Here is a 25,392-nt window from a genome sequence, read left to right on the forward strand (position 1 = left end):
TGGGTCATGTCTCCATCTCCAAAACCAGGAGACAGTGTCTGCTCTGGATTGTGTATCAGTCAGGGGAGAAGAGTTACTGTGAGTGTCTAGGATAAGAGATTTACTACAGGGACTAGACCTCCCATAATTGTGAGAGGAGTGAGAAAGTGAAGCCCAGAAAAGGACTTAAAGGATAAAAGTCACCAAATTGAGAAACCAAGCACATCCAACTACAGACGTGACTGCAAAAAAGTGATGGAGGGGTCTATGGGAAGCAGTTATCTTTGAGTCTACAGCCAAGAATCTGGCCATGAGCCTAAGCTCACATTTGGTAATCAGGGCCAGAAGTTAGGAAAGGGAGCTGGAAGCAGCATAGTGCAGAGCAATTATGAAAACAATCACAATCCAGTTCAGTAAGTGTTTAATAAGAGAAATCACAAGACACAATGGGAGCCCCAAGGGGTTACAGAATCCAGCCTAGACACCAAGGAAGGCCTCTTGGAGGAGACAACATTTGAGATGAGGCCTGAAGGATGAGAAGAGAGCCAGAGGAAATGGGAGAGAAATTAGCAAATGCAGAGGCCTAGAAGCAAGAATAGGGTATTTGAGAACTAAAAGTAGCTTGGTCTGGCTGGGGTCTAAGTATGAAGTAGGAAGCATCACTGGTGATGCCAGGGGGCCAGCAGGACCCAGATATTACAGGTTCGTAAGTGAGGAGTTTGGACTCTGTCCTAAGAGCAATGGGGAACCATGGTAGGATGTGAAGCAAAGGAGAGGTAAGTATCATAGGTAGATGTTGGCACATTGGAGATAGGAGGATCTTCTGAACACATTTCCCTCCCAGGAAAAGTCCAAACACCTCAGCTGGAATGCTGATCCCTGTACCTTCAAGGGTTTGCTAGCTTTAGCTTCCTTCTCTGAAGGTAATCTGAGGAATATGGCATTGGGAATGTGATGGCATTTGTTACATTTTCAACTGCAAGTGACAGTGTGCCTGACAGCAGCTTAATCAAAGAAGAAATATCATCTTTTATAGCAAAACATCTTAAGGTTGGCAGCCAGGGGCTCAGTGTGTCCAAGAATCCAGGCTCTTTTCATCTTTCTGCTCTGGGATCTCTAGCAGTAGTTGGCTTTGTCCTTAAACTCATTGCCCAAAACAGTGGCTGCAGTGCCACACATCATTTGGTCACAGGGCACTGACAAAAGCAGGAAGGAAAAGGTGGGACAAAAGGCTTTTACCTCATGACTCTATCTTATTGATAATAATAATTAAAAAAACAGGTATCCCTTGACCTCTCATTGGCTAAGAGCTGGATCATGTGCCCACCCTGGACCAATCACTGCTGAAGGTAAAGGAATTACTGCTCCTACTTAAGACAGATCATTATTGATTTTCTGGGGCTGGAGAGCACCGCGTCCTAGGGGATTTCTAATCCTTAGGTTGGTACATAAGTAATCGTGGATTTTGCCATTAAAAGTGCTAGTATTTTTATAGACATTGAGCAAAAGGTATTTAGAATTTCCATCATGACTTACTCTTTATTTCATAAGTTGTTTAGAAGTACATTTTGAAATTTCTAAGTTTGTTAGGTTTTATGTGGCTACCTGTTTATTGCTGGTTTCTAATTTAAATAACTTGTCAGAGAACATAAACTTTATGATTTTTTTTTTCTTTCAAATTCCTTTGTGATTTAGAATTGTCTCTCTGGTAACTGGTTTGTGTATGTTTGAAAAAATGTTATCTGTTTTGAGCAAAGTTTTATATATTAGGTCAAACAATTTATTAAAAGTTTCTATACCCCTTCTATTTTTTCATCTATTTGATCTATACCAGTTTCTTATATAGTTGTATGAAAATATCAAACTATGATTGTGAATTTGTCCATTTCTTATTTTTGCTGGATGAAAAAAATCCAGTCTGTAATTTTTTTAAAGGAAGAATTTAATCTACTTGCATCAACTATGAGTACTGATATATTTCAATTTAGTTAAACATCTCATTTTGCATTTTTTGTTTGCCATCATTTTCTTTGCTCTCATTTTATTTTTAAAATTAAAATGCATTTTTTCATTATACTTTAAGTTCTGGGCTACATGTGCAGAATGTGCAGGTTTGTTACGTAGGCATACACGTGCCATGGTGGTTTGCTGCATCCATCAAACCATCTACATTAGGTATTTCTCCTAATGCTATCCCTCCCCTAGCACCATCTGACAGGCCCAAGTGTGTGATGTTGCCCTCCCTGTGTCCATGTGTTCTCATTGTTCAACTCTCACTTATGAGTGAGAACATGCAGTATTTTTGGTTTTCTGTTCCTGTGTTAGTTTCCTGAGAATGATGGTTTCCAGCTTCATCCATGTCCCTTCAAAGGACAACTCATCCTTTTTTTATGGTTGCATAGTATTCCATGGTATATATATATATGCCACATTTTCTTTATCCAGTCTATCATTGGTGGGCATTTGGGTTGGTTCCAAGTCTTTGCTATTGTGAACAGAGCTGCAATAAACGTGTGTGCATGTGTCTTTATAGTAGAATGATTTATAATGCTTTGGGTATATACCCAGTAATGGGATGGCTGGATCAAATGGTATTTCTGGTTCTAGATCCTTGAGGAATCGCCACACTGTCTTCCACAATGGTTGAACTAATTTACACTCCCACCAACAGTGTAAAAGTTTTCTCCACATCCTCTCCATCATCTGTTGTTTCCTGACGTTTTAATGATCGCCATTCTAACTGGAGTGAGATGGTATTTCATTGTGGTTTTGATTTGCATTTCTCTAATGACCAGTGATGATGAGCTTTTTTCATATGTTTGTTGGCCACATAAATGTCTTCTTTTGAGAAGTATCTGTTCATGTCCTTTGTGTACTTTTTGATGGGATTGCTTTTTCTTGTAAATTTAAGTTCCTTGTAGATTGTGGATATTAGCCCTTTGTCAGATGGATAGATTGCAAAAATTTTCTGCCATCCTGTAGGTTGCCTGTTCATTCTGATAATAGTTTCTTTTGCTGTGCAGAAGCTCTTTAATTAGATCCCATTTTCAATTTTGGCTCTTGTTGCCATTGCTTTTGGTGTTTTAGTCATGAAGTCTTTGCCCATGCCTATGTCCTGAATGGTATTGCCTAGGTTTTCTTCTAGGGTTTTTATGGTTTTAGGTCTTACATTTAAGTCATTAATCCATCTTGAGTGAATTTTTGTATAAGGTGTAAGGAAGGGGTCCAGTTTGTTTTCTGCATATGGCTAGCCAGTTTTCCCAACACCATTTATTAAATAGGGAATCCTTTCCCCATTGCTTGTTTCTGTCAGAGTTGTCAAAGATCAGATGGTTGTAGATGTGTGATGTGATTTCTGAGGCCTCTGTTCTGTTCTGTTGGTTTATATATCTGTTTTGGTACCAGTACCATGCTGTTTTGGTTACTGTAGCCTTGTAGCATAGTTTGAAGTCAAGCAGCATGAGGCCTCCAGCTTTGTGTTTTTTGCTTAGCATTGTCTTGTCTATATGGGTTGTTTTGGTTCCATATGAAATTTAAAGTAGATTTTTCCAGTTCTGTGGAGAAAGTCAGTGGTAGCTTGATGGGGATAGCATTGAATCTATAAATTAATTTGGGCAGTATGGCCATTTTCACAATATTGATTCTTCCTATCCATGAGCATGGAATGTTTTTGCATTTGTTTGTGTCCTCTCTTATTTCTTTGACCAGTGGTTTCTAGTTCTCCTTGAAGATGTCTTTCACTTCCCTTGTTAGCTGTATTCCTAGGTATTTTATTGTCTTTGTAGCAATTGTGAATGGGAGAGTTCACTCATGATTTGGCTGTTTGTCTATTATTGGTGTATAGGAATGCTTGTGATTTTTGTACATTGATTTTGTATCCCAAGACTTTGCTGAAGTTGCTTATCAGCTTAAGATTTGGGGCTGAGACAATGGGGTTTTCTAGATATACAATCATGTTATCTGCAAACAGAGACAATTTGACTTCCTCTTCTCCTATTTGAATACCCTTTATTTCTTTCTCTTGCCTGATTGCCCTGGCCAGAACTTCCGATACTATGTTGAATAGGAGTGGTGAGAGAGGGTGGCATCCTTGTTTTCTGTCGGTTTTCAAGGGGAATGTTTCCAGCTTTTGCCCATTCAGTATGATATTGGCTATGGGTTTGTCATAAATAGCTCTTATTATTTTGAGATACGTTCCATCAATACCTAATTTATTGAGAGTTTTTAGCATTAAGAGGTGAATTTTATCGAAGGCCTTTTCTGCATCTATTGAGGTAATTGTGTGGTGTTTGTCATTGGTTCTGTTTATGTGATGGATTACATTTATTGTTTATGTATGTTGAACCAGCCTTGCATCCCAGGGATGAAGCTGACTTGATTGTGGGTGGATAAGCTTTTTGATGTGCTGCTGGATTTGGTTTGCCAGTATTTTATTTAGGATTTTTGCATCAATGTTTAACAGGGATATTGGCCTGAAATTTTCTTTTGTTGTGTCTTTGCCAGGTTTTTGTATCAGGATGATGCTGGCTTCATAAAATGAGTTAGGGAGGAGTCCCTCTTTTTTTATTGTTTGGAATAGTTTCAGAAGAAATGATATCAGCTCCTCTTTGTACCTCTGGTAGAATTCGGCTGTGAATCCGTCTGGTCCTGGGCTTTCTTTGGTTGGTAGGCTATTAATTACTGCCTCAATTTCAGAACTTGTTATTGGTCTGTTCAGGGGTTTGACTTCTTCCTGGTTTAGTCTTGGGAGAGTGTATGTGTCCAGGAATTTATCCATTTCTTCTTGATTTTCCAGTACATTTGTGTAGAGGTGTTTATAGTATTCTCTGATGGTAGTTTGTATTTCTGTGGGATCAGTGGTGATATCCTCTTTATCATTTTTTATTCTGTCTATTTGATTTTTCTCTCATTAGTCTGGCTAGTGGTCTATTTTGTTAATCTTTTCAAAACACTAGTTCCTGGATTCATTGATTTTTTGTTTTTGAAGGGTTTTTTGTGTTTCTATCTCCTTCAGTTCTGCTCTGATCTTAGTTATTTCTTGTCTTCTGCTAGCTTTTGAATTTGTTTGCTCTTGCTTCTCTAGTTCTTTTAATTGTGATGTTAGGGTGTTGATTTTAGATCTTTCCCACTTTCTCCTCTGGGCATTTAGTGCTATAAACGTCCCTCTAAACACTGCTTTAGCTGTGTCCAGAGATTCTGGTACATTGTGTCTTCGTTCTCACTGGTTTCAAAGAACTTCTTTATTTCTGCCTTAATTTCATTATTTACCCAGTGGTCATTCAGGAGCAGGTTGTTCAGTTTCCATGTAGTTGTTCAGTTTCAAGTGAGTTTCTTAATGCCGAGTTCTAATTTGATTGTGCTGTGGTCTGAGAGACTGTTTGTTATGATTTCCATTCTTTTGTATTTGCTGACGAGTGTTTTACTTCCAATTATGTGGTCAATTTTAGAATAAGTGTGATGTGGTGCTGAGAAGAATGTATATTCTGTTGATTTGGGGTGTAGAGTTCTGTAGATGTCTATTAGGTCTGCTTAGTCCAGAGCTGAGTTCAAGTCCTGAATATCCTTGTTAATATTCTGTCTTGTTGATCTGTCTACTATTGACAGTGGGGTATTAAAGCCTCCCATTATTATTGTATGGGAGTCTAAGTCTCTTTGTAGGTCTCTAAGAACTTGATTTATGAATCTGGGTGCCCTGTATTTGGTGCATATATATTTAGGATAGTTAGCCCTTCCTGTTGCATTGATCCCTTTACCATTATGTAATGCCCTTCTTTGTCTTTTTTGATCTTTGTTGGTTTAAAGTCTGTTTTATCAGAGACTAGGATTGCAACCCTGCTTTTTTTTGTTTTCCATTTGCTTGGTAAGTATTCCTCCATCCCTTTATTTTGAGCCTATGTGTGTCTTTGCATATGTGACATGGGTGTCCAGAATACAGCACACCAATGGGTCTTGACTCTTTATCCAATTTGCCAGTCTGTGTCTTTTAATTGGAGCATTTAGCCCACTTACATTTAAGGTTAATATTGTTATGTGTGAATTTGATCCTGTCATGATGTTAACTGGTTATTTTGCCCATTAGTTGATGCAGTTTCTTCATAGTGTCAATGGTCTTTATAATTTGGTATGTTTTTGCAGTGGCTGCTACTGATTTTTCCTTTCCATACTTAGTGCTTCCTTCAGGAGCTCTTGTAAGGTAGGCCTGGTGGTGACAAAATCTCTCATCATTTGCTTGTCGTAAAGGATTTTATTTCTCCTTTGCTTATGAAGCTTAGTTTGGCTGGATATGAAATTCTGGGTTGAAAATTCTTTAAGAATGTTGAATATTGGTCCTCACTCTCTCCTGGCTTGTAGGATTTTTACAGAGATATCTGCTGTTAGTCTGATGGACTTCTCTTTGTGGGGAACCCGACCTTTCTCTCTGGTTGCCCTTAGTATTTTTTCCTTCATTTCAACCTTGGTGAATCTGACAATTATGTGTCTTGGCCTGTCTTGCTAGGTTGGAGAAGTTCTCCTGGATAACATCCTGAAGAGTGTTTTCCAAGTTGGTTCCATTCTCCCCATCACTTTCAGGTACACCAATCAAATATAGGTTTGGTCTTTTCACATAGTTCCATATTTCTTGGAGGCTTTGTTCATTCCTTTCCATTCTTTTTTCTCTAATCTTGTCTTCAAGCTTTCTCATTAAGTTTATCTTCAATCTCTGATATCCTTTCTTCCACTTGATCGATTCAGCTATTGATACTTGTGTATGCTTCACAAAGTTCCCATACTGTGTTTGTCAGCTCCATTAGGTCATTTATGTTCTTCTCTAAACTGGTTGTTTTAGTTAGCCATCCCTCTAATCTTTTTTCAAGGTTCTTAGCTTCCTTGCATTGCATTAGAACATGCTCCTTTAGCTTGGAGGTGTTTGTTATTACCCACCTTCTGAAGCCTACTTCTGTCAATTCATCAAACTCATTCTCCATCCAGTTTTGTTCCCTTGCTGGTGAGGAGTTGTGATCTTTTGGAGGAGAAGTGGCATTCTGGTTTTTGGAATTTTCAGCCTTTTTGTGCTGTTTTTTTCTCATCTTCATGGATTTATCTACCTTCGGGTCTTTGATGTTAGTGAACTTCAGATGGGGTTTCTGTATGGGCTTTTTTTTGTTGATGTTGATGCTATTCCTTTCTGTTTGTTAGTTTCCTTCTAACAGTCAGGCCTGTCTGCTGGAGTTTGCTGGAGGTCCACTCCAGACCCTGTTTGCCTGGATATCACCAGCAGAGGCTGCAGAACAGCAAAGATTGCTGCCTGTTCCTTCTTCTGGAAGCTTCATCCCAGAGGGGCACCCACCAGATGCCAGCCAGAACTTTCCTGTATGAGGTGTCTCCCAATCAGGAAGCACAGGGGTCAGGGACCCACTGGAGGAGACAGTCTGTCCCTTAGCAGAGCTCGAGCGCTGTGCTTCAGAGCTGGCCGTCAGGAACGTTTAAGTCTGCTGAAGCTGTGCCTACAGCCACCCCTACCCCGAGGTGCTCTGTCCCAGGGAGAGGGGAGTTTTATCTATAAGCCTCTGACTGGAGTTGCTGCTTTTCTTGCAGAGATGCCCCACCCAGAGAGGAGGAATCTAGACAGGCAGTCTGGCTACAGAAGCTATGAAGTGCTGCAGTGGGCTCTGTCCAGTTCGAATTTCCTGGTGGCTTTGTTTACACTGTGAGGGGAATACCACCTACTGAAGCCTCAGTAATGGTGGACACCCCTCTCCCAACCAAGCTGGAGTGTACCAGGTCAACTTCAGACTGCTGTGCTCGCAGTGAGAATTTCAAGCCAGTGGATCTTAGCTTACTGGGCTCCATGGGGGTGGGATCTGCTGAACTAGACCACTTGGCTCCCTGGCTTCAGCCCCCTTTCCAGGGGAGTGAACAGTTCTATCTCTTTGGCATTCCAGGCACCACTGGGGTATGGAAAAAAAAAACAAAACTCCTGCAGCTATCTCCATGTCTGCCCAAACGGCCACCCAGCTTTGTGATTGAAACCCAGGGCCCTCGTGGTGTAGGCACCCGAGAGAATCTCCTGGTCTGTGGATTGGGAAGACTGTGGGAAAAGTGTAGTATCTGGGCCAGAGTAGACTGTTCCTCATGGCTCCTCATGGCTTCCCTTGGCTAGGGCAGGCAGTTCCCCAACCCCTTGTGCTTTCCGGGTGAGGCAATGCCCCACCCTACTTTGGCTCGCTCTCTGTGGGCTGCAACCACTGTCTAAGCACTCCCAGTGAGATGAGCTGGGTACCTCAGTTGGAAATGCGGAAATCACCCACCTTCTGTGTTGATCTTGCTAGGAACTGCAGGCTGGAGCTGTTCCTATTTGGCCATCTCGCCAGCCACCCCTGCTCTCATTTTTTCATCTTTCCTACATCTGCAGAATTGACAGTTTTCTAGATTTTTTTCTTTTTCCCTTTTAGTGATTAATCTTAAGATACTAAAAAAACTGAACTCTTATGGAAAAATGTATAGTTAAATGTGTATTTTTATTCTTCTATCCACTATGAAGGCTTTAGCATAAATTACCTACCTATTGAATAGCCCTTCTTTATGTTGTGTCTTATAGTTTTAGCTTTTGTTTACATTCTTGCAGAAGTATGTTCCTTTTTTTGTGAGGGCCTATGGGTAGTTAACCTTATAGAGTTTATTTGAAAATAGGATTTATCTTGCCTTACTCTTAATAGTGTAGCTTTTCTAGTTTTATTTTCTCCTTCAGGTTTTTTGAAGACAATTACTCCATTGTCTCCTGGCTTTTATTGTTTGGTCACCAGCATAGCTGTTCCTTTTCAAGTAATTTGTCTATAGTCTCTGGCAGACTTAAGGGCTGCCTCTGTATGTTTTATATTATACAATTTAATTATGATATATCCAGGCAATACATCCAGATTTTTGATAAATTTTCATTCTCAATGACAATTTCTTCAAATATTGCTTCTCCATCATTCTTTTTTCCTCCTGATATTCCTATTTAGAGAGGCTGAAGCCATTTGTTCTAGCCACCATTTCCTCTTATTTTTCATATTTGTGTATCATTCTGGATAAGCTCCCAAAACTACATTTCAATTTGGCAGTTTATTTTTTGCCAGTGTCTGATCTAGAGCAGATCCTACAAATTGTAGTTTTAATTTCAATGACAATATTTTATTTTCAAGAATTCATTAGCTTGGTGGTTTCTAGTATCAAACAGCTTCTGATAAAACTATACCTTCTTGGGAGGCTGAGACGGGCGGATCACGAGGTCAGGAGATTGAGACCATCTTGGCTAACATATTGAAACCCTGTCTCTACTAAAATTACAAAAAATTAGCTGGGCATGGTGGCACGCGCCATAGTCCCAGCTACTGAGGAGGCTGAGGCAGAAGAATCTTTTGAACCCAGGAGGCGGAGGTGCAATGAGCCAAGATGGCGCCACTGCACTCTGGCCTGGATGACAGAGCGAGACTTCATCTCCAAAAAACAAACAAAAAACCAAAAACTATACCTCCAAACAGCTTGCCATTGTTATCTTTTCTTTAGATTTCTTTCTTGAGTAGGAGAATTTTAGACCCAGCAGTAGATGGGGTTCCAGTCTGCCCTACCCCGCAGGAGCCAGAGTCCCCATTGCCATGATCTGTGTCCTGTCCCAGTTCCCAGAAAGTCTGCAGTTTGAGCCTTCCCAGTGCCTTCTCTTCTTCTTCCCTTCCTCATTGTATTGCAGCCTCTTCTGGTGTTTCTGGCCCATGAAGAAATTTGTCCTGTACTTAAGCCTGGCTATGCCTTTTTTTGTCTTATCACTTTGTTCTGTCATTGGTACACATTGGAGCAGGATTTTAAAAAATTTTTATTTTACTTTAAGTTCCGGGATACATGTACAGAACGTGCAAGTTTGTTACATAGGTATACATGTGCCATGGTGGTTTGCTGCATCTATCAACCTGTCATCTAGGTTTTAAGCCCTGCATGCATTAGGTATTTGTCCTAATGCTCTCCCTCCGCTTGTTCCCCACCTCCTGACAGTCCCCAGTGTGTGTTGTTCCCCTCCCTGTGTCCATGTGTTCTCATTGTTGAACTCCCACTTATCAGTGAGAACATGTGGTGTTTGGTTTTCTGTTCCTGTGTTAGTTTGCTGAGGATAATGGCTTCCAGCTTCATCTATGTCCCTGCAAAAGACATGACCTCATTCTTTTTTATGGCTGCATAGTATTCTATAGTGTGTGTGTGTACCACATTTTCTTTATCCAATCTGTCATTGGGTATTTGGGTTGGTTCCATGTCTTTGCTATTGTAAATAGTGCTGCAATAAATGTTTGTATGCATGTGTCTTTATAGTAGAATGAATTATAATGCTTTGGGTACATCCCCAGTAATGGGATTGCTGGGTCAAATGGTATTTCTGGTTCTAGATCCTTGAGGAATAACCACACTGTCTTCCACAATGGTTGAACTAATTTACATTCCCACCAACAGTGTAAAAGCGTTCCTATTTCTCCACTGCCTCGCCATCTACTGTTTCTTCACTTTTTAATAATCGTCATTCTGACTGGCGTGAGATGGTATCTCATTATGGTTTTGATTTGCATTTCTCTAATGATCAGTGATGTTGAGCTTTTTTTCATGTTTGTTGGTCACATAAATGTCATCTTTTGAGAAGTATGTGTTCATATCCTTTGCCCACTTTTTGATGGTGTTTTTCTTGTAAATTTGTGTAAGTTCCTTGTAGATTCTAGATATTAGCCCTTTGTCAGATGGTTAGATTACAAAAATTTTCTCCCATTCTGTAGATTGCCTTTTCACTCTGATGATACTTTCTTTTGATGTGCAGAAGCTCTTTAGTTTAGTAAATTTTCATTTTTGTTGCAATTGCTTTTGGTGTTTTCGTCATGAAATCTTTGCCTGTGCCTATGTCCTGAATGGTATTGCCTAGGTTTTCTTCTAGGGCTTTTATGGTTTTGGGTCTTATGTTTAAGTCTTTAATCCATCTTGAGTTAATTTTTGTATAAGGTGTTAATTTTGTATAAGGTGTAAGGAAGGGATCCTGCATATGGCTAACCAGTTTTCCCAGTACCATTTATTAAATAGGGAATCTTTTCCCCATTGCTAGTTTTTGTCTGGTTTGTTGAAGATCAGATGGTTGTAGGTGTGTGGTGTTATTTGAGGTCTCTGCTCTGTTCCATTGGTGTATATGTCTGTGTTGGTTATTGTAGCCTTGTAGTATAGTTTGAAGTCAGGTAGCATGATGCCTCCAGTTTTGTTCTTTTTACTTAGGATTTTCTTGGGTATATGAGCTCATTTTTGGTTTCATATGAAATTTAAAGTAGATTTTTCTAATTCTGTGAATAATGTTGATGGTAGTTTGGGAATAGCATTGATTCTATAAATTACTTTGGGCAGTATGGCCATTTTCACAATATTGATTCTTCCTATCCATGAGCATGGAATGTTTTTCCATTTGTTTGTGTCCTCTTTTATTTCCTTGACCAGTGGTTTGTAGTTCTCCTTTAAGAGGTCCTTCACTTCCATTGTTAGCTGTATTCCTAGGTATTTTATTCTCTTTGTAGCAATTGTGATTGGAAGTACATTCATGATTTGGTGCTCTGTTTGTCTATTGTTGGTGTATAGGAATGCTTATGATTTTTGTACATTGATTTTCTATCCTAAGACTTTGCTGAAGTTGCTCATCAGCTTAAGGAGTTTTTGGGCTTAGATAATCTTTTATTTTTTCTTTTGAGATGGAGTCCTGCTCCATAGCCCAGGCTGGAGTGCAATGGCATGATCTCGGCTCACTGCAACCTCTGTCTCCCAGGTCTCAGTTTAAGCAATTCTGCTTCAGCCTCCTGAGCTCCTGAGTAGCTGGGATTACGGGCACATGCCATCATGCCTAGCTAATTTTTGTATTTTTAGTAGAGATGGGGTTTCACCATGTTGGCCAGGCTGGTCTTGAACTTCTCACCTTGTGATCTGCCCACCTCAGCCTCCCAAAGCACTAGGATTACAGGTGTGAGCCGCCGCACCTGCCCTGACAATGGGGTTTTCTAAATATACAATCATGTCATCTGTAAACAGACAATTTTACTTTCTCTCTTTCTATTTGAATACCCTTTATTTCTTTCTCGTGCTTGATTGCCCTGGCCAGAACTTCAATACTATGTTGAATAGGAGAGGGGGTTTTCAAAATGAGAACTCCATGATCCAAAACTACCTTTGAGTGGCTCTTATCAGCCACTGCCCAGCTGGTTATGGCCTGCTTTAGCTTGTGATAGTGGTGGTGGGAGGCTGGGGTGGAGAGTTCCATTGCAGAATGTAGGAACATGCTGAGCCTACTTGGGGCTATTTTCCAAATTTTTAATGCTTGTACTTCCAGAAAGCCATCTGAACTTGGCTAAGGACACATCTTTCTGTAAAGTGTTCCCTGTGTACCATTCAATCTTATCTACTTACACTATTAGCATGGATGTTAAAGGCTCACGTTAAACTGCCAGGGTTCAAAACTTGCTTCTATCTTAAACTGCTTGGGGGCAAGTTAAACCTTATTGCATCTGCCATATTTCTAAATCTGTAAAATGGGAATATAAAAACACCTAACACAAAGGGCTCTAGAGGTTAAATAATACACGCTAATCATGTAGAGAGACACTTGGTATAGACAGAATTGTAAGCTATTAGTTTTTATAGTTATTACTGACTAGAAAAATCTAATCAGAAAGGTGACATTGCCTTCTTAGATATCAAAATGTGACATTTGGATATGCTTGAGATATGGTTACCTGGAGGCACGTTTCTAATCATTCACCCTAAAATTAAATGGGGAGAATTCCTCCCTAACACAGCCTCAGGTATGTATGGTCAGTGTTTTCCTTGTCTCTGAAACACGCCTGAACTGTTTTTGTTTTTTGTTTTTTGAGATGGAGTCTCACTCTGTCACCCAGGCTGGAGTGTGGTGGCATGATCTTGGCTCAGTGCAACCTCCGCCTCCCATGTTCAAGCAATTTTCCTGCCTCAGCCTCCCGAGTAGCTGTGACCACAGGCGCCTGCTACCACACCCAACTAATTTTTTTATTTTTAGTAGAGACGGGATTTCACCATCTTGGCCAGGCTGGTCTCGAATTCCTGACCTCAGGTGATCTGTCCACCTCGGCCTCCCAAAGTGCTGGGATTACAGGTGTGAGCCACCATGCCTGGCCATACCCCTGAACTTTTTATCAATTATCTATTTTTGCAACTAATTGTCTCATTGTTTTAATATATGTTAGTTTTAACATCCTGGCTAGATGAAAAGCAAGTTGATTCCAGAATTTTATCTTTTTCACCCCTTTCATCCCTGTACAGGTAGGACATAGGGTAGGAGCTTAGTATGTATTTATTGAGTGGATTGATAACACAGAATGAAACAATTCAGAAATTTGAGTATAGTCAATGGGCAGGAGCACAGTTTTGAAGCCAAAGGGGCTCTGGGACACTTACCCATGTCTTCATTTCCATTGCCTGGTGCAAAAGGATTGTGGTGAGGGAGATGGTGTTGATTGGTGTCCCAAAGGTAAAGACATCTATATCAGAGCCCTTATAGGCCTGCAGAGGAGGAACAGACAGGCATTGTCAGGTATGTCTGTGGACTAACTTTGGCTTTGACACAGTGATTATAAAGCATCAATGAAGGCAGTTGTCAATGGAGAAGGAGGTACCCAGCTGCCATCTGTGTGGTACTGATCCGAGGAACAGGTCAAGGTAAGAAAGGAATTGATAGGACTAATTTAGAAATGGTGTTTGCAGGAGTAAGCCAAGATGGGGATTGTGAAACCATTGTGGAATGAATGAAGACAGAATTCATTGAGAGCCCATCAGACACAATGCTAACAGCTGAGGATACTTCTGTGTTTGCCTACAATGAGTTTAGTCTATTAGGCAGTGCGGATGTGGTACAATTTAAGGAAGTACGTGCTATAATAGAGGCAAGTACAAGGTACCCTGGGAACACAGAAGAGGATATATTAGCTGAGACCAGAATAAGAGGAGTTAATCACTTGGAAAGAGAGGGTAAATGCAGTTCCAGAAAAGGTCAGAACGGAGGGTGAACACAGACGGTTTGTAGAACTCCAGAGTCCTACATTGTAGGTCTGTTGAGCATATTCAAGGGCAAAAGATATAGCAGGAAAGCCAAGCAAAGACCTGGCCAGGGAGGGTATTGTAAGCCAGGAAGTTCAAGCAAAACACAAGATCCCTGCCTCCCCTAACTCCATCATCTTGCTAATTATGAAAGAATATGAGCCCAGAGGTTGGATAAGCAACAGTGTTTACCTGGTGGCAATTGCTTCCCATCCTGTTCCGTGTGTCCAGGAAGAAGACATATATTGTTTGCTACCTAAATTCTCACTATTTAAACTGAGGAATCAAACTGAGATTGGGCTGGTATCCCTTGCTATCTGCATTCTTGCTACTTTTTTTCAGATAATGTAGTATCTCATTATCGGAACTTGCTGCCTCTGAAGGCTAGCTTCCTTGACCTTCAAAGCACAAGTGTATATAAAAATCAAGGGTAGTAAATTCAAATACCTTCAGTGTTCAAGTAGGAAACAGTTAATGAGTAAAGATAGCCAGATGTAAGACAAAGGGGAGTGGTAGAGACTAAGGCAAACTGGAGAACATGCTCACAAGGTGAGCCCAGCTGCAAAGTCAAGTCCAGATTTTTGCTATGAGGGAAAAAATGACCCAGTATAAATATAGCTTTCAGTTTTTCAAGAGCCAGCAGAAATCAAAATGTTTGGGTAGTGTTCTGACTTTTCAAACACCTTGGGTTGGATGTAACCTGCAGGCTACCTGTTTGAGCCTCTGCTCTAAAGTGTCCAGAAGGACACTACTGGTCTGGAACTTTATATAAAAAGGACCAGTTCTTCTCTGCAATTTATGTGGTTAGAATGGGACTACATGACTTACCAGGTAAGGGATAAAGAAACAGATGAGGCTCTGGTAGAATGCATCCACCATAGAAATCCAGAAAGTCGACAGGTTATAGCACTGCCAGGAGAGAACACACCAATAATTATCACCCTTATAGCAAGCCTCTATTCTTTGCAAGCAACTTTCTTGCATGTGGCTGCGACAGACAACCAGACGCATACAATGCCTCTTGTATTTGTGGTAGTAGAATGGAGTAATTAGGAGTGTAGACTTGGGGGTGACAGACTTCAGTTCAACTGTGTGACCTTGTGAAAATTACTAAACTGTGCGGAGAACTAGTTTCTTCTTCCATTAAATGTGGGCAAAAATAACACAGCCTATCTCCTTGGGGTTCAAGAGGAGTAAATGCAATTGTGCCTACCTAGTAAGTACTCAGGCCTTAGTGCCTAGCCAAGTACTCAGTTATTCATTGTTATCAATCATTAGTTCTTTTGCTACTGTTGCTACAAACCTGGCAAGTGTAAAGATTCTAAAGTTTCTAAGTGGCATCTGAGAGATCTCAATCGTAGCTCGAATCACAGGTTCCCCCAAGTTTCTGAAGTTCAACAGCTCCAGAAACAAGGCTTCTCAGGCATCAGCGGCTCCAGAAACAAGCCTTCTCAGGCATTAATCTTTGTGCCTTCCCCAGGAAAAGTGAAATCTTTACAGTTTTTGGGTCTTGCTTAACTTTTAGATACTCAAGGAATTTGCTATGCAGTCAGCACTTTGATGGGAAGGGTAAACTTAGAAGAGCCCAAGGTGAACATGCACTCTCACCATGCCCCCTTCGTCTGGACTGCTTGGGTTTCTGTGTTGCTCTCTCCTCTTGGCTTTGGGCTAACAACTGGGCTTGCTGTTAGTCTATAAATAATTGCCAGATCTCAAATACTACACTTGGCTTTGCCCTTCTTTCCTCCAGGTGCAAGACACTCTCTGGCATTGCAAAGTCCCTCTTCCCAGAGCTCCCTCGATCCAGCTTCTTGCTGGTGCTGGGAGTGCATGCTGTCTGACTTCTCCAAATCATTCAGGGCTGCAGTGTGGCCTCTCTGGGCCTCCTAGGATGCCACCTGATGGCTTCTCAGGCCTGCCTTAGTCTATTTGATACCAGCAAATTCTAAAGCACATGTAATTTTGAGTTCTAAGTTTTGCCTTCCCTAATATGAAATAGAACCATTGTATACCTTACCCAATGAAAAGCAAAGTAGCTATAAATCCCAAGGGTTCTCAAACTGGGCTTTGGGGGTTCTATAGATGCATCTCAGAGCCTGGAGGGGATGGCTGAAAGGTATAGGATCCTTCTGCATGGCTCTTCCCCTTCGACTAGGGCAGTCCCATATTAATGTGTGATATAATTAAGAAATAATTGGGGCAGCCAAGATGGCCAAATAGGAACAGCTCTGGTCTACAGCTCCCAGCATGAGCGACACAGAAGACGGGTGATTTCTGCATTTCCATCTGAGGTACCGGGTTCATCTCACTAGGGAGTGCCAGACAGTGGGCACAGGACAGTGGGTGCAGTGCACCATGCACGAGCCAAAGCAGGGCGAGGCATTGCCTCATTCGGGAAGCACAAGGGGTCAGGGAGTTCCCCTTCCTAGTCAAAGAAAGGGGTGACAGATGGCACCTGGAAAATCGGGTCACTCCCACCCTAATACTGTGCTTTTCCAACAGGCTTAAAAAATGGCGCACCAGGAGATTATATCCTGCACATGGCTTGGAGGGTCCTACGCCCATGGAGTCTCGCTGATTGCTAGCACAGCAGTCTGAGATCAAACTGCAAGGCAGCAGCGAGGCTGGGGGAGGGGCGCCTGCCATTGCCCATGCTTGCTTAGGTAAATAAAGCAGCTGGGAAGCTCGAACTGGGTGGAGCCCACCACAGCTCAAGGAGGCCTGCCTGCCTCTGTAGGCTCCACCTCTGGGGGCAGGCCACAGATGAACAAAAAGACAGCAGTAACCTCTGCAGACTTAAATGTCCCTGTCTGACAGCTTTGAAGAGAGCAGTGGTTCTCCCAGCACGCAGCTGGAGATCTGAGAATGGGCAGACTGCCTCCTCAAGTGGGTCCGTGACCCCTGACCCCTGAGCAGCCTAACTGGGAGGCACCCCCTCAGTAGGCGCAGACTGACACCTCACATGGCCGGGTACTTCTCTGAGACAAAACTTCCAGAGGAACAATCAGACAGCAGCATTCGCAGTTCACAAAAATCTGCTGTTCTGCAGCCACTGCTGCTGTTACCCAGGCAAACAGGGTCTGGATTGGACCTCTAGCAAACTCCAACAGACCTGCAGCTGAGGATCCTGTCTGTTAGAAGGAAAACTAACAAATAGAAAGGACATCCACAGCAAAAACCCATCTGTACATCACCATCATCAAAGACCAAAAGTAGATAAAACCACAAAGATGGGGAAAAAACAGAGCAGAAAAACTGGAAACTCTAAAAAGCAGAGCGCCTCTCCTCCTCCAAAGGAACGTAGTTCCTCACCAGCAATGGAACAAAGCTGGACAGAGAATGACTTTGACGAGTTGAGGGAAGGCTTCAATCAAACTACTCCGAGCTACAGGAGGAAATTCAAACCAAAGGCAAAGAAGTTAAAAACTTTGCAAAAAATTTAGATGAATGTAGAACTAGAATAACTAATACAGAGAAGTGCTTAAAGGAGCTGATGGAGCTGAAAGCCAAGGCTCGAGAACTACGTGAAGAATGCAGAAGCCTCAGGAGCCGATGTGATCAACTTGAAATGAATGAAATGAAGTGAGAAGGGAAGTTTAGAGAAAAAAGAATAAAAAGAAACAAACAAAGCCTCCAAGAAATATGGGACTATGTGAAAAGACCAAATCTACGTCTGATTGGTGTACCTGAAAGTGACGGGGAGAAAGAATGGAACTAAGCTGGAAAACACTCTGCAGGATATTATCCAGGAGAACTTCCCCAATCTAGCAAGGCAGGTCAACATTCAGATTCAGGAAATACAGAGAATGCCACAAAGATAGTCCTCGAGAAGAGCAACTCCAAGACACATAATTGTCAGATTCACCAAAGTTGAAATGAAGGAAAAAATGTCAAGGGCAGCCAGAGAGAAAGGTCAGGTTACCCACAAAGGGAAGCCCATCAGACTAACAGCTGATCTCTCAGCAGAAACTCCACAAGCCAGAAGAGAGTGGGGGCCAATATTCAACATTCTTAAAGAAAAGAATTTTCAACTCAGAATTTCATATCCAGCCAAACTAAGCTTCATAAGTGAAGGAGAAATAAAATCCGTTACAGACAGACAAATGCTGAGAGATTTTGTCACCACCAGGCCTGCCCTAAAAGAGCTCCTGAAGGAAGCACTAAACATGGAAAGGAACAACCAGTACCAGCCACTGCAAAATCACGCCAAATTGTAAAGACCATCGAGGCTAGGAAGAAACTGCATCAACTAACAAGCAAAATAACCAGCTAACATCATAATGACAGGATCAAATTCAAACATAACAATATTAACTTTAAATGTAAATGGACTAAATGCTCCAATTAAAAGACACAGACTGGCAAATTGGATAAAGAGTCAAGACCCATCAGTGTGCTGTATTCAGGAAACCCATCTCATGTGCAGAGACACACATAGGTTCAAAATAAAAGGATGGAGGAAGATCTACCAAGCAAATGGAAAACAAAAAAAGGCAGGGGTTGCAATCCTAGTCTCTGATAAAACAGACTTTAAACCAACAAAGATCAAAAGAGACAAAGAAGGCCATTACATAATGGTAAAGGGATCAATTCAACAAGAAGAGCTAACTAACTATCCTAAATATATATGCACCCAATACAGGAGCACCCAGATTCATAAAGCAAGTCCTGAGTGACCTACAAAGAGACTTAGACTCCCGCACAATAATAGTGGGAGACTTTAACACCCTACTGTCAACATTAGACAGATCAATGAGACAGAAAGTTAACAAGGATATCCAGGAATTGAACTCAGCTCTGCACCAAGCAGACCTAATAGACATCTACAGGTCTCTCCACTCCAAATCAAGAATATACATTCTTCTCAGCACCACATCACACTTATTCCAAAACTGACCACATAGTTGGAAGTAAAGCACTCCTCAGCAAATGTAAAAGAACAGAAATTATAGCAAACTGTCTCTCAGAGCACAGTGCAATCAAACTAGAACTCAGGATTAAGAATCTCACTCAAAACCACTCAACTACATGGAAACTGAACAACCTGCTCCTGAATGACTACTGGGTACATAACGAAATGAAGGCAGAAATAAAGATGTTCTTTGAAACCAATGAGAACAAAGACACAACATACCAGAATCTCTGGGACACATTTAAAGCAGTGTGTAGAGGGAAATTTATAGCACTAAATGCCCACAAGAGAAAGCAGGAAAGATCTAAAATTGACACCCTAACATCACAATTAAAAGAACTAGAGAAGCAAGAGCAAACACATTCAAAAGCTAGCAGAAGGCAAGAAATAACTAAGATCAGAGCAGAACTGAAGGAAAGAGAGACACAAAAAACCCTTCAAAAAATCAATGAATCCAGGAGCTGGTTTTTTGAAAAGATCAACAAAATTGAGAGACTGCTAGCAAGATTAATAAAGAAAAAAAGAGAGAAGAATCAAATAGATGCAATAAAAAATGATAAAGGGGATATCACCACCGATCCCACAGAAATACAAACTACCATCAGAAAATACTACAAACACCTCTATGCAAATACACTAGAAAATCTAGAAGAAATGGATAAATTCCTCGACACATACACCCTCCCAATACTAAACCAGGAAGAAGTTGAATCTCTGAATAGACCAATAACAGGCTCTGAAATTGTGGCAATAATCAATAGCTTACCAACCAAAAAGAGTCCAGGACCAGATGGATTCACAGCCGAATTCTACCAGAGGTACAAGAAGGAAGTGGTACCATTCCTTCTGAAACTATTCCAATCAATAGAAAAAGAGGGAATCCTCCCTAACTCATTTTATGAGGCCAGCATCATCCTGATACCAAAGCCGGGCAGAGACACAACCAAAAAAGAGAATTTTAGACCAATATCCTTGATGAACATTGATGCAAAAATCCTCAATAAAATACTGGCAAACCAAACCCAGCAGCACATCAAAAAACTTATCCACCATGATCAAGTTGGCCTCATCCCTGGGATGCAAGGCTGGTTCAATATACTCATATCAATAAATGTAATCCAGCATATAAACAGAACCAAAGACAAAAACCACGTGATTATCCCAATAGATGCAGAAAAGGCCTTTGACGAAATTCAACAATGCTTCATGCTAAAAACTCTCAATAAATTAGGTATTGATGGGACGTATTTCAAAATAATAAGAGCTATCTACGACAAACCCACAGCCAATATCATACTGAATGGGCAAAAACTGGAAGCATTCCCTTTGAAAACTGGCACAAGACAGGGATGCCCTCTCTCACCACTCCTATTCAACATAGTGTTGGAAGTTCTGGCCAGGGAAATTAGGCAGGAGAAGGAAATAAAGGGTATTCAATTAGGAAAAGAGGAAGTCAAATTGTCCCTGTTTGCAGATGACATGATTGTATATCTAGAAAACCCCATTGTCTCAGCCCAAAATCTCCTTAAGCTGATAAGCAACTTCAGCAAAGTCTCAGGATACAAAATCAATGTGCGAAAATCACAAGCATTCCTATACACCAATAACAGACAAACAGAGAGCCAAATCGTGAATGAACTCCCACTCACAATTGCTTCAAAGAGAATAAAATACCTAGGAATCCAACTTACAAGGGACGTGAAGGACCTCTTCAAAGAGAACTACAAACCACTGCTCAATGAAATAAAAGAGGATACAAAGAAGTGGAAGAACATTCCATGCTCATGGGTAGGAAGAATCAATATTGTGAAAATGGCCATACTGCCCAAGGTAATTTATAGATTCAATGCCATCCCCATCAAGCTACCAATGACTTTCTTCACAGAATTGGAAAAAAACTACTTTCAAGTTCATATGGAGCCAAAAAAGAGCCCGCATTGCCAAGTCAATCCTAAGCCAAAAGAACAAAGCTGGAGGCACCACACTACCTGACCTCAAACTATACTACAAGGCTACAGTAACCAAAACAGCATGGTACTGGTACCAAAACAGAGATATAGATCAATGGAACAGAACAAAGCCCTCAGAAATAATGCTGCATATCTACAACTATCTGATCTTTGACAAACCTGACAAAAACTAGCAATGGGGAAAGGATTCCCTTTTTAATAAATGGTGCTGGGAAAACTGGCTAGCCATATGTAGAAAGCTGAAACTGGATCCCTTCCTTACACCTTATACAAAAATTAATTCAAGATGGATTAAAGACTTAAACGTTAGACCTAAAACCATAAAAACCCTAGAAGAAAACCTAGGCATTACCATTCAGGACATAGTCATGCACAAGGACTTCATGTCTAAAACACCAAAAGCAATGGCAACAAAAGCCAAAATTGACAAATGGGATCTAATTAAACTAAAGAGCTTCTGCACAGCAAAAGAAACTACCATCAGAGTGAACAGGCAACCTACAAAATGGGAGAAAATTTTTGCAACCTACTCATCTGACAAAGGGCTAATATTCAGAATCTACAATGAACTCAAACAAATTTACAAGAAAAAAATAAACAACCCCATCAAAAAGTGGGCAAAGGACATGAACAGATACTTCTCAAAAGAAGACATTTACGCAGCCAAAAAACATGAAAAAATGCTCACCATGACTGGCTATCAGAGAAATGCAAATCAAAACCACAATGAGATACCATCTCACACCAGTTAGAATGGCAATCATTAAAAAGTCAGGAAACAACAGATGCTGGAGAGGATGTGGAGAAATAGGAACACTTTTACACTGTTGGTGGGACTGTAAACTAGTTCAACCATTGTGGAAGTCAGTGTGGGGATTCCTCAGGGATATAGAACTAGAAATACCATTTGACCCAGCCATCCTGGGTATATACCCAAAAGACTATAAATCATGCTGCTATAAAGACACATGCACACATATGTTGTTGCGGCACTACTCACAATAGCAAAGACTTGGAACCAACCCAAATGTCCAACAATGATAGACTGGATTAAGAAAATGTGGCACATATACACCATGGAATACTATGCAGCCATAAAAAATGATGAGTTCATGTCTTTTGTAGGGACATGGATGAAATTGGAAATCATCATTCTCAGTAAACTATTGCAAGGACAAAAAACCAAATACCACATGTTCTCACTCATAGGTGGGAATTGAACAATGAGAACACATGGACACAGGAAGGGGAACATCACACTCTGGGGACTGTTGTGGGGTGGGGGGAGCAGGGAGGGATAGCATTAGGAGATATACCTAATGCTAAATGACGAGTTAATGGGTGCAGCACACCAGCATGGCACATGTATACATATGAAATTAACCTGTACATTGTGTACATGTACCCTAAAACTTAAAGTATAATAACAATAAAAAAAAAATTAAAAATACCCACTAGTCTGGCCCAACACCCTCAATAGCAAGTAAGAAACGGGTCAGGAAAGGAGAGAGGAGTTACTCAAAGTAAATGATGGAACAGTGGTCAGAATGCAGGCTTCTGACCCCAGCATACAGCTCTTTCTCTGATGCCTCCAGAGGGGAGGTAGAGGTCAGTAAGAAGCTGAAGTCACCTCCCTTTGGCTGCCCGATCTCCTTACCTCAGAGTTCTGGCCACTCTTGTATAGCTCAGGCAATGCCAGGAGTGTTTCTGCAGAGATGTCTTTGTCAAGGACTCCAAAGACAAGAGGAGGCAAGGAGGTAAAGAAGAGATTGAAGAATATCATCTGCCAGTAATCAATCATGGTGGAGCTGGAGAAACCACAGAAGAACTGATACCAGAAGAGCAGGTTGACGTAGCACTGCAGGCAGAGAGCATGGCCTTGTGAGTGGGGCTCCATGTGCAGCCGGTCACCAGCTCCTGCTTGGGACCTCTGGGAGCTGCTGGAGTGGCAGTTGCCTCATTTATAACACACAGGGTTATGTAAGGATGAGAGAGAATTCTAATCCTCGGAGCAGTAGCTACCACTGTTACTACTACTACTATTGCTACTAACATTCTTCAGGACCTGAAGGGAATTCCACTAACTTGTTTAAAGGGGAGTGGACAGTAAGTCTTCACTTAACATTGCCAATAGGTTCTTAGAAACTGCAACTTAAAGCAAAATGATGTATGGCAAGCCCCGGAATAACATTGCTTAATTCAACATCACATTTTCTAGGAACCTATTGAGGACATTAATTGAGGACTTGGTGTACTATGATGGTTAAAAGTACAGATTTTGGAGGCAGAGAGGCCTGGTTTTGAATCCCCAATTCTGTCACTTACTAGCTGTGTGACCTTGGACAAACTACTTAATCTTTCTGAATAGCATTTTATCATCTGTCAGCTGGGAATAGTAGTACTTAGACCAATGGCATGCGAAATATGAATGGCAGTGGAGTGGTAATAGAAAGGGATGTCACTGACAAAGGGGTAATAGAAAGACTGAACCATGAGCAGGACACCTGGTAGGACGGTGACCTCGTGAGAAGGTTGACTTCACTGTACTTTCCTAATGGTCATGCAGCTCAGAAGGGTGAATGACAAAATCTGCCTAAATGTTGTTCATTTTTTTCTAAAGCTCTTTCTCACTCAAGATCTCCTCTCTTGTGGGTGGGCTGGGTCACTGTTATTGTCTACCATATTGCGATATGGTTTGGTGATTTGACCAAGGTCATACATATAAGCAGCTGGTCCTGGAGTTAGAACTAGAACTTCTCAGTTATGTGGGGCTGAGGCACAGAGATGTGAAGGGTCTTGCAAGAAATCATTCAGCAGGTTTGTGTTCAAGCTGTAACTCCTATTTCTGAACTGCTGGGTCAATGTTATTTTGGAGGGGCTCTCTATTTTAACATATTGCCACTAGTAGTAACATCATTTGTAAAATTTGACCTTCTATATGTGCCAGGAGTGAGATATACATCAGTATATCAGCATATAGTACATCATTGGATGTGCAATACACACTATAGATTGTCCTAACAACCTTGCAAGGTTAATATTGCTATAGTAGTACTACGTTATTGTACTGATATATCACATGTTGATATTAACAATAATATTAACATTATTAGGCCCACTCTACAGATGAAGAATCCAAGGTTCTGACATACTGTTGCCCCCTGCCCAAATTCAGAGCTAGAGAGTGGTACAATCAGCATCTGAATTTTCAAAGTTCTTTCTCTTTTTAACTACCTCTAAACTTTCTCAGTCCTATCTTTGGCTTATACGATTAGACTTTTCTAGACACATACAGCCTGCAAAGCTGAAATATTTATTATCTAGCTCTTTGAAGAAAAAGCTTCCTGAGACCTGATGTAGACAGCCTCACGCAGGCCATGATTGGCTTGATTCCTGCTCTATACCCATTGCTCAGCCCTGTTCCCGACATACAGCAGACATTCAATTGTTATTTGAATCAATGTAGTTAATCTTAGCTCTATGCTAACACCCATCCTGGAGTTTCAGCGTTACAGAGTGCTTCTTGCCTCCTGAGGCCCTGGTAAGATCTTGCTTGTTTTTCACTTCTGCCTAACTGGAATCTTTGTACCTTGCAGGGAGTGCATTGAACCCCATGGCAGCATTGCTGATATTGGATGCCTGCTCTTTCTCTCAAGAAGCTACAGTGCGGTAATTAATTCATTGTTCAAATTTCAGAGCAGGCCAGGTTTTAATCCCCTCTGAAATTGGTTTCATATGTGGAAGTCATAGTTCTCCACCTTCTAATTGCAACAGGGAGATAATGCGGCATTAGTATCGCAATTTTGAGCATGGCATTGGGCTGGAAATAAATATCATTTAAGCTTTGAAAGCGTGGCTGCTTGGAAACGTTTTCTTTCCTATTTCACAAATTTAATGCAGAGAAGAGGCTGTGCTTATTCAAAAGAATTATTCCTTGAGCTGCCAAAAAAATTAAACAGGAGCATTTTGGATTCTAAATAAACAGTCTTTCACTCTCAAAGTGAGTTTCAAGTCAGATGGAGTGACTTGTTTGCGTAGACTTGCTGAGATAATATTACCATCAAGTTGATTGAATTTACATTACTTTTTGTCATGCTGTTTATCTACATATACATTGAACTTTGCACAGAAAGTCATTCCTGAGCAAAGGTGACTGTGTCAGAGTCTGAAAGAAAGACTGGAGCAAGAGGAAAAATTGCAATTTTGTAGCTACTACCTGGCTAATGTTTCTCTTCCATCACCTTGGTCTTAATCCTCCCCTTTTACTTATGCAAAGAGGAGTCAAATTGTTTGGAAATCTTGGGGTTTATTAAAAGCCTTTGAACTAGATAATGAAAAACTCTTTTGTTCCCTCCATTAGCCTAGCACGGTTCTGACTTCTTCCTATTCCCATTGTTAATAAAGGGCTTTTCAAAGAAGAGTCTTCTGACCGTTTTAATA

The 25,392-nt window shown here is 41.0% G+C and overlaps 1 protein-coding gene across 11 annotated transcripts in view, besides 1 other annotated feature; it reads right to left on the minus strand.

Moving 5' to 3' along the window:
* Positions 1-25,392, minus strand: part of ATP10B (ATPase phospholipid transporting 10B (putative)) — a 366,241-nt gene that overhangs the window by 13,041 nt on the left and 327,808 nt on the right. For 9 of the 11 annotated variants that reach the window (XM_017009252.2, XM_011534468.3, XM_047416994.1 and 6 more), the window contains 3 exons: positions 22,610-22,810; positions 14,899-14,979; positions 13,432-13,536 (listed from right to left, as the gene is read on the minus strand). In XM_017009252.2, the coding sequence (XP_016864741.1) occupies positions 13,432-13,536; positions 14,899-14,979; positions 22,610-22,810 (387 nt within the window). The remainder of the gene's footprint in view (positions 1-13,431; positions 13,537-14,898; positions 14,980-22,609; positions 22,811-25,392) is intronic. The other 2 variants (XM_047416995.1, XM_047416996.1) reach the window with 1 other exon arrangement.
* Positions 16,215-16,715: an enhancer, noted in NCBI's record as "NANOG-H3K4me1 hESC enhancer chr5:160019382-160019882 (GRCh37/hg19 assembly coordinates)". NCBI's record gives its function as "activates a minimal SCP1, AML or CMV promoter by ChIP-STARR-seq in naive H9 embryonic stem cells {active_cell/tissue: H9 hESC(naive)}" and the evidence as "EXISTENCE:reporter gene assay evidence [ECO:0000049][PMID:30033119]".

This window comes from Homo sapiens, chromosome 5, assembly GCF_000001405.40.
Source record: "Homo sapiens chromosome 5, GRCh38.p14 Primary Assembly".
Taxonomy (NCBI): domain Eukaryota; kingdom Metazoa; phylum Chordata; class Mammalia; order Primates; family Hominidae; genus Homo; species Homo sapiens.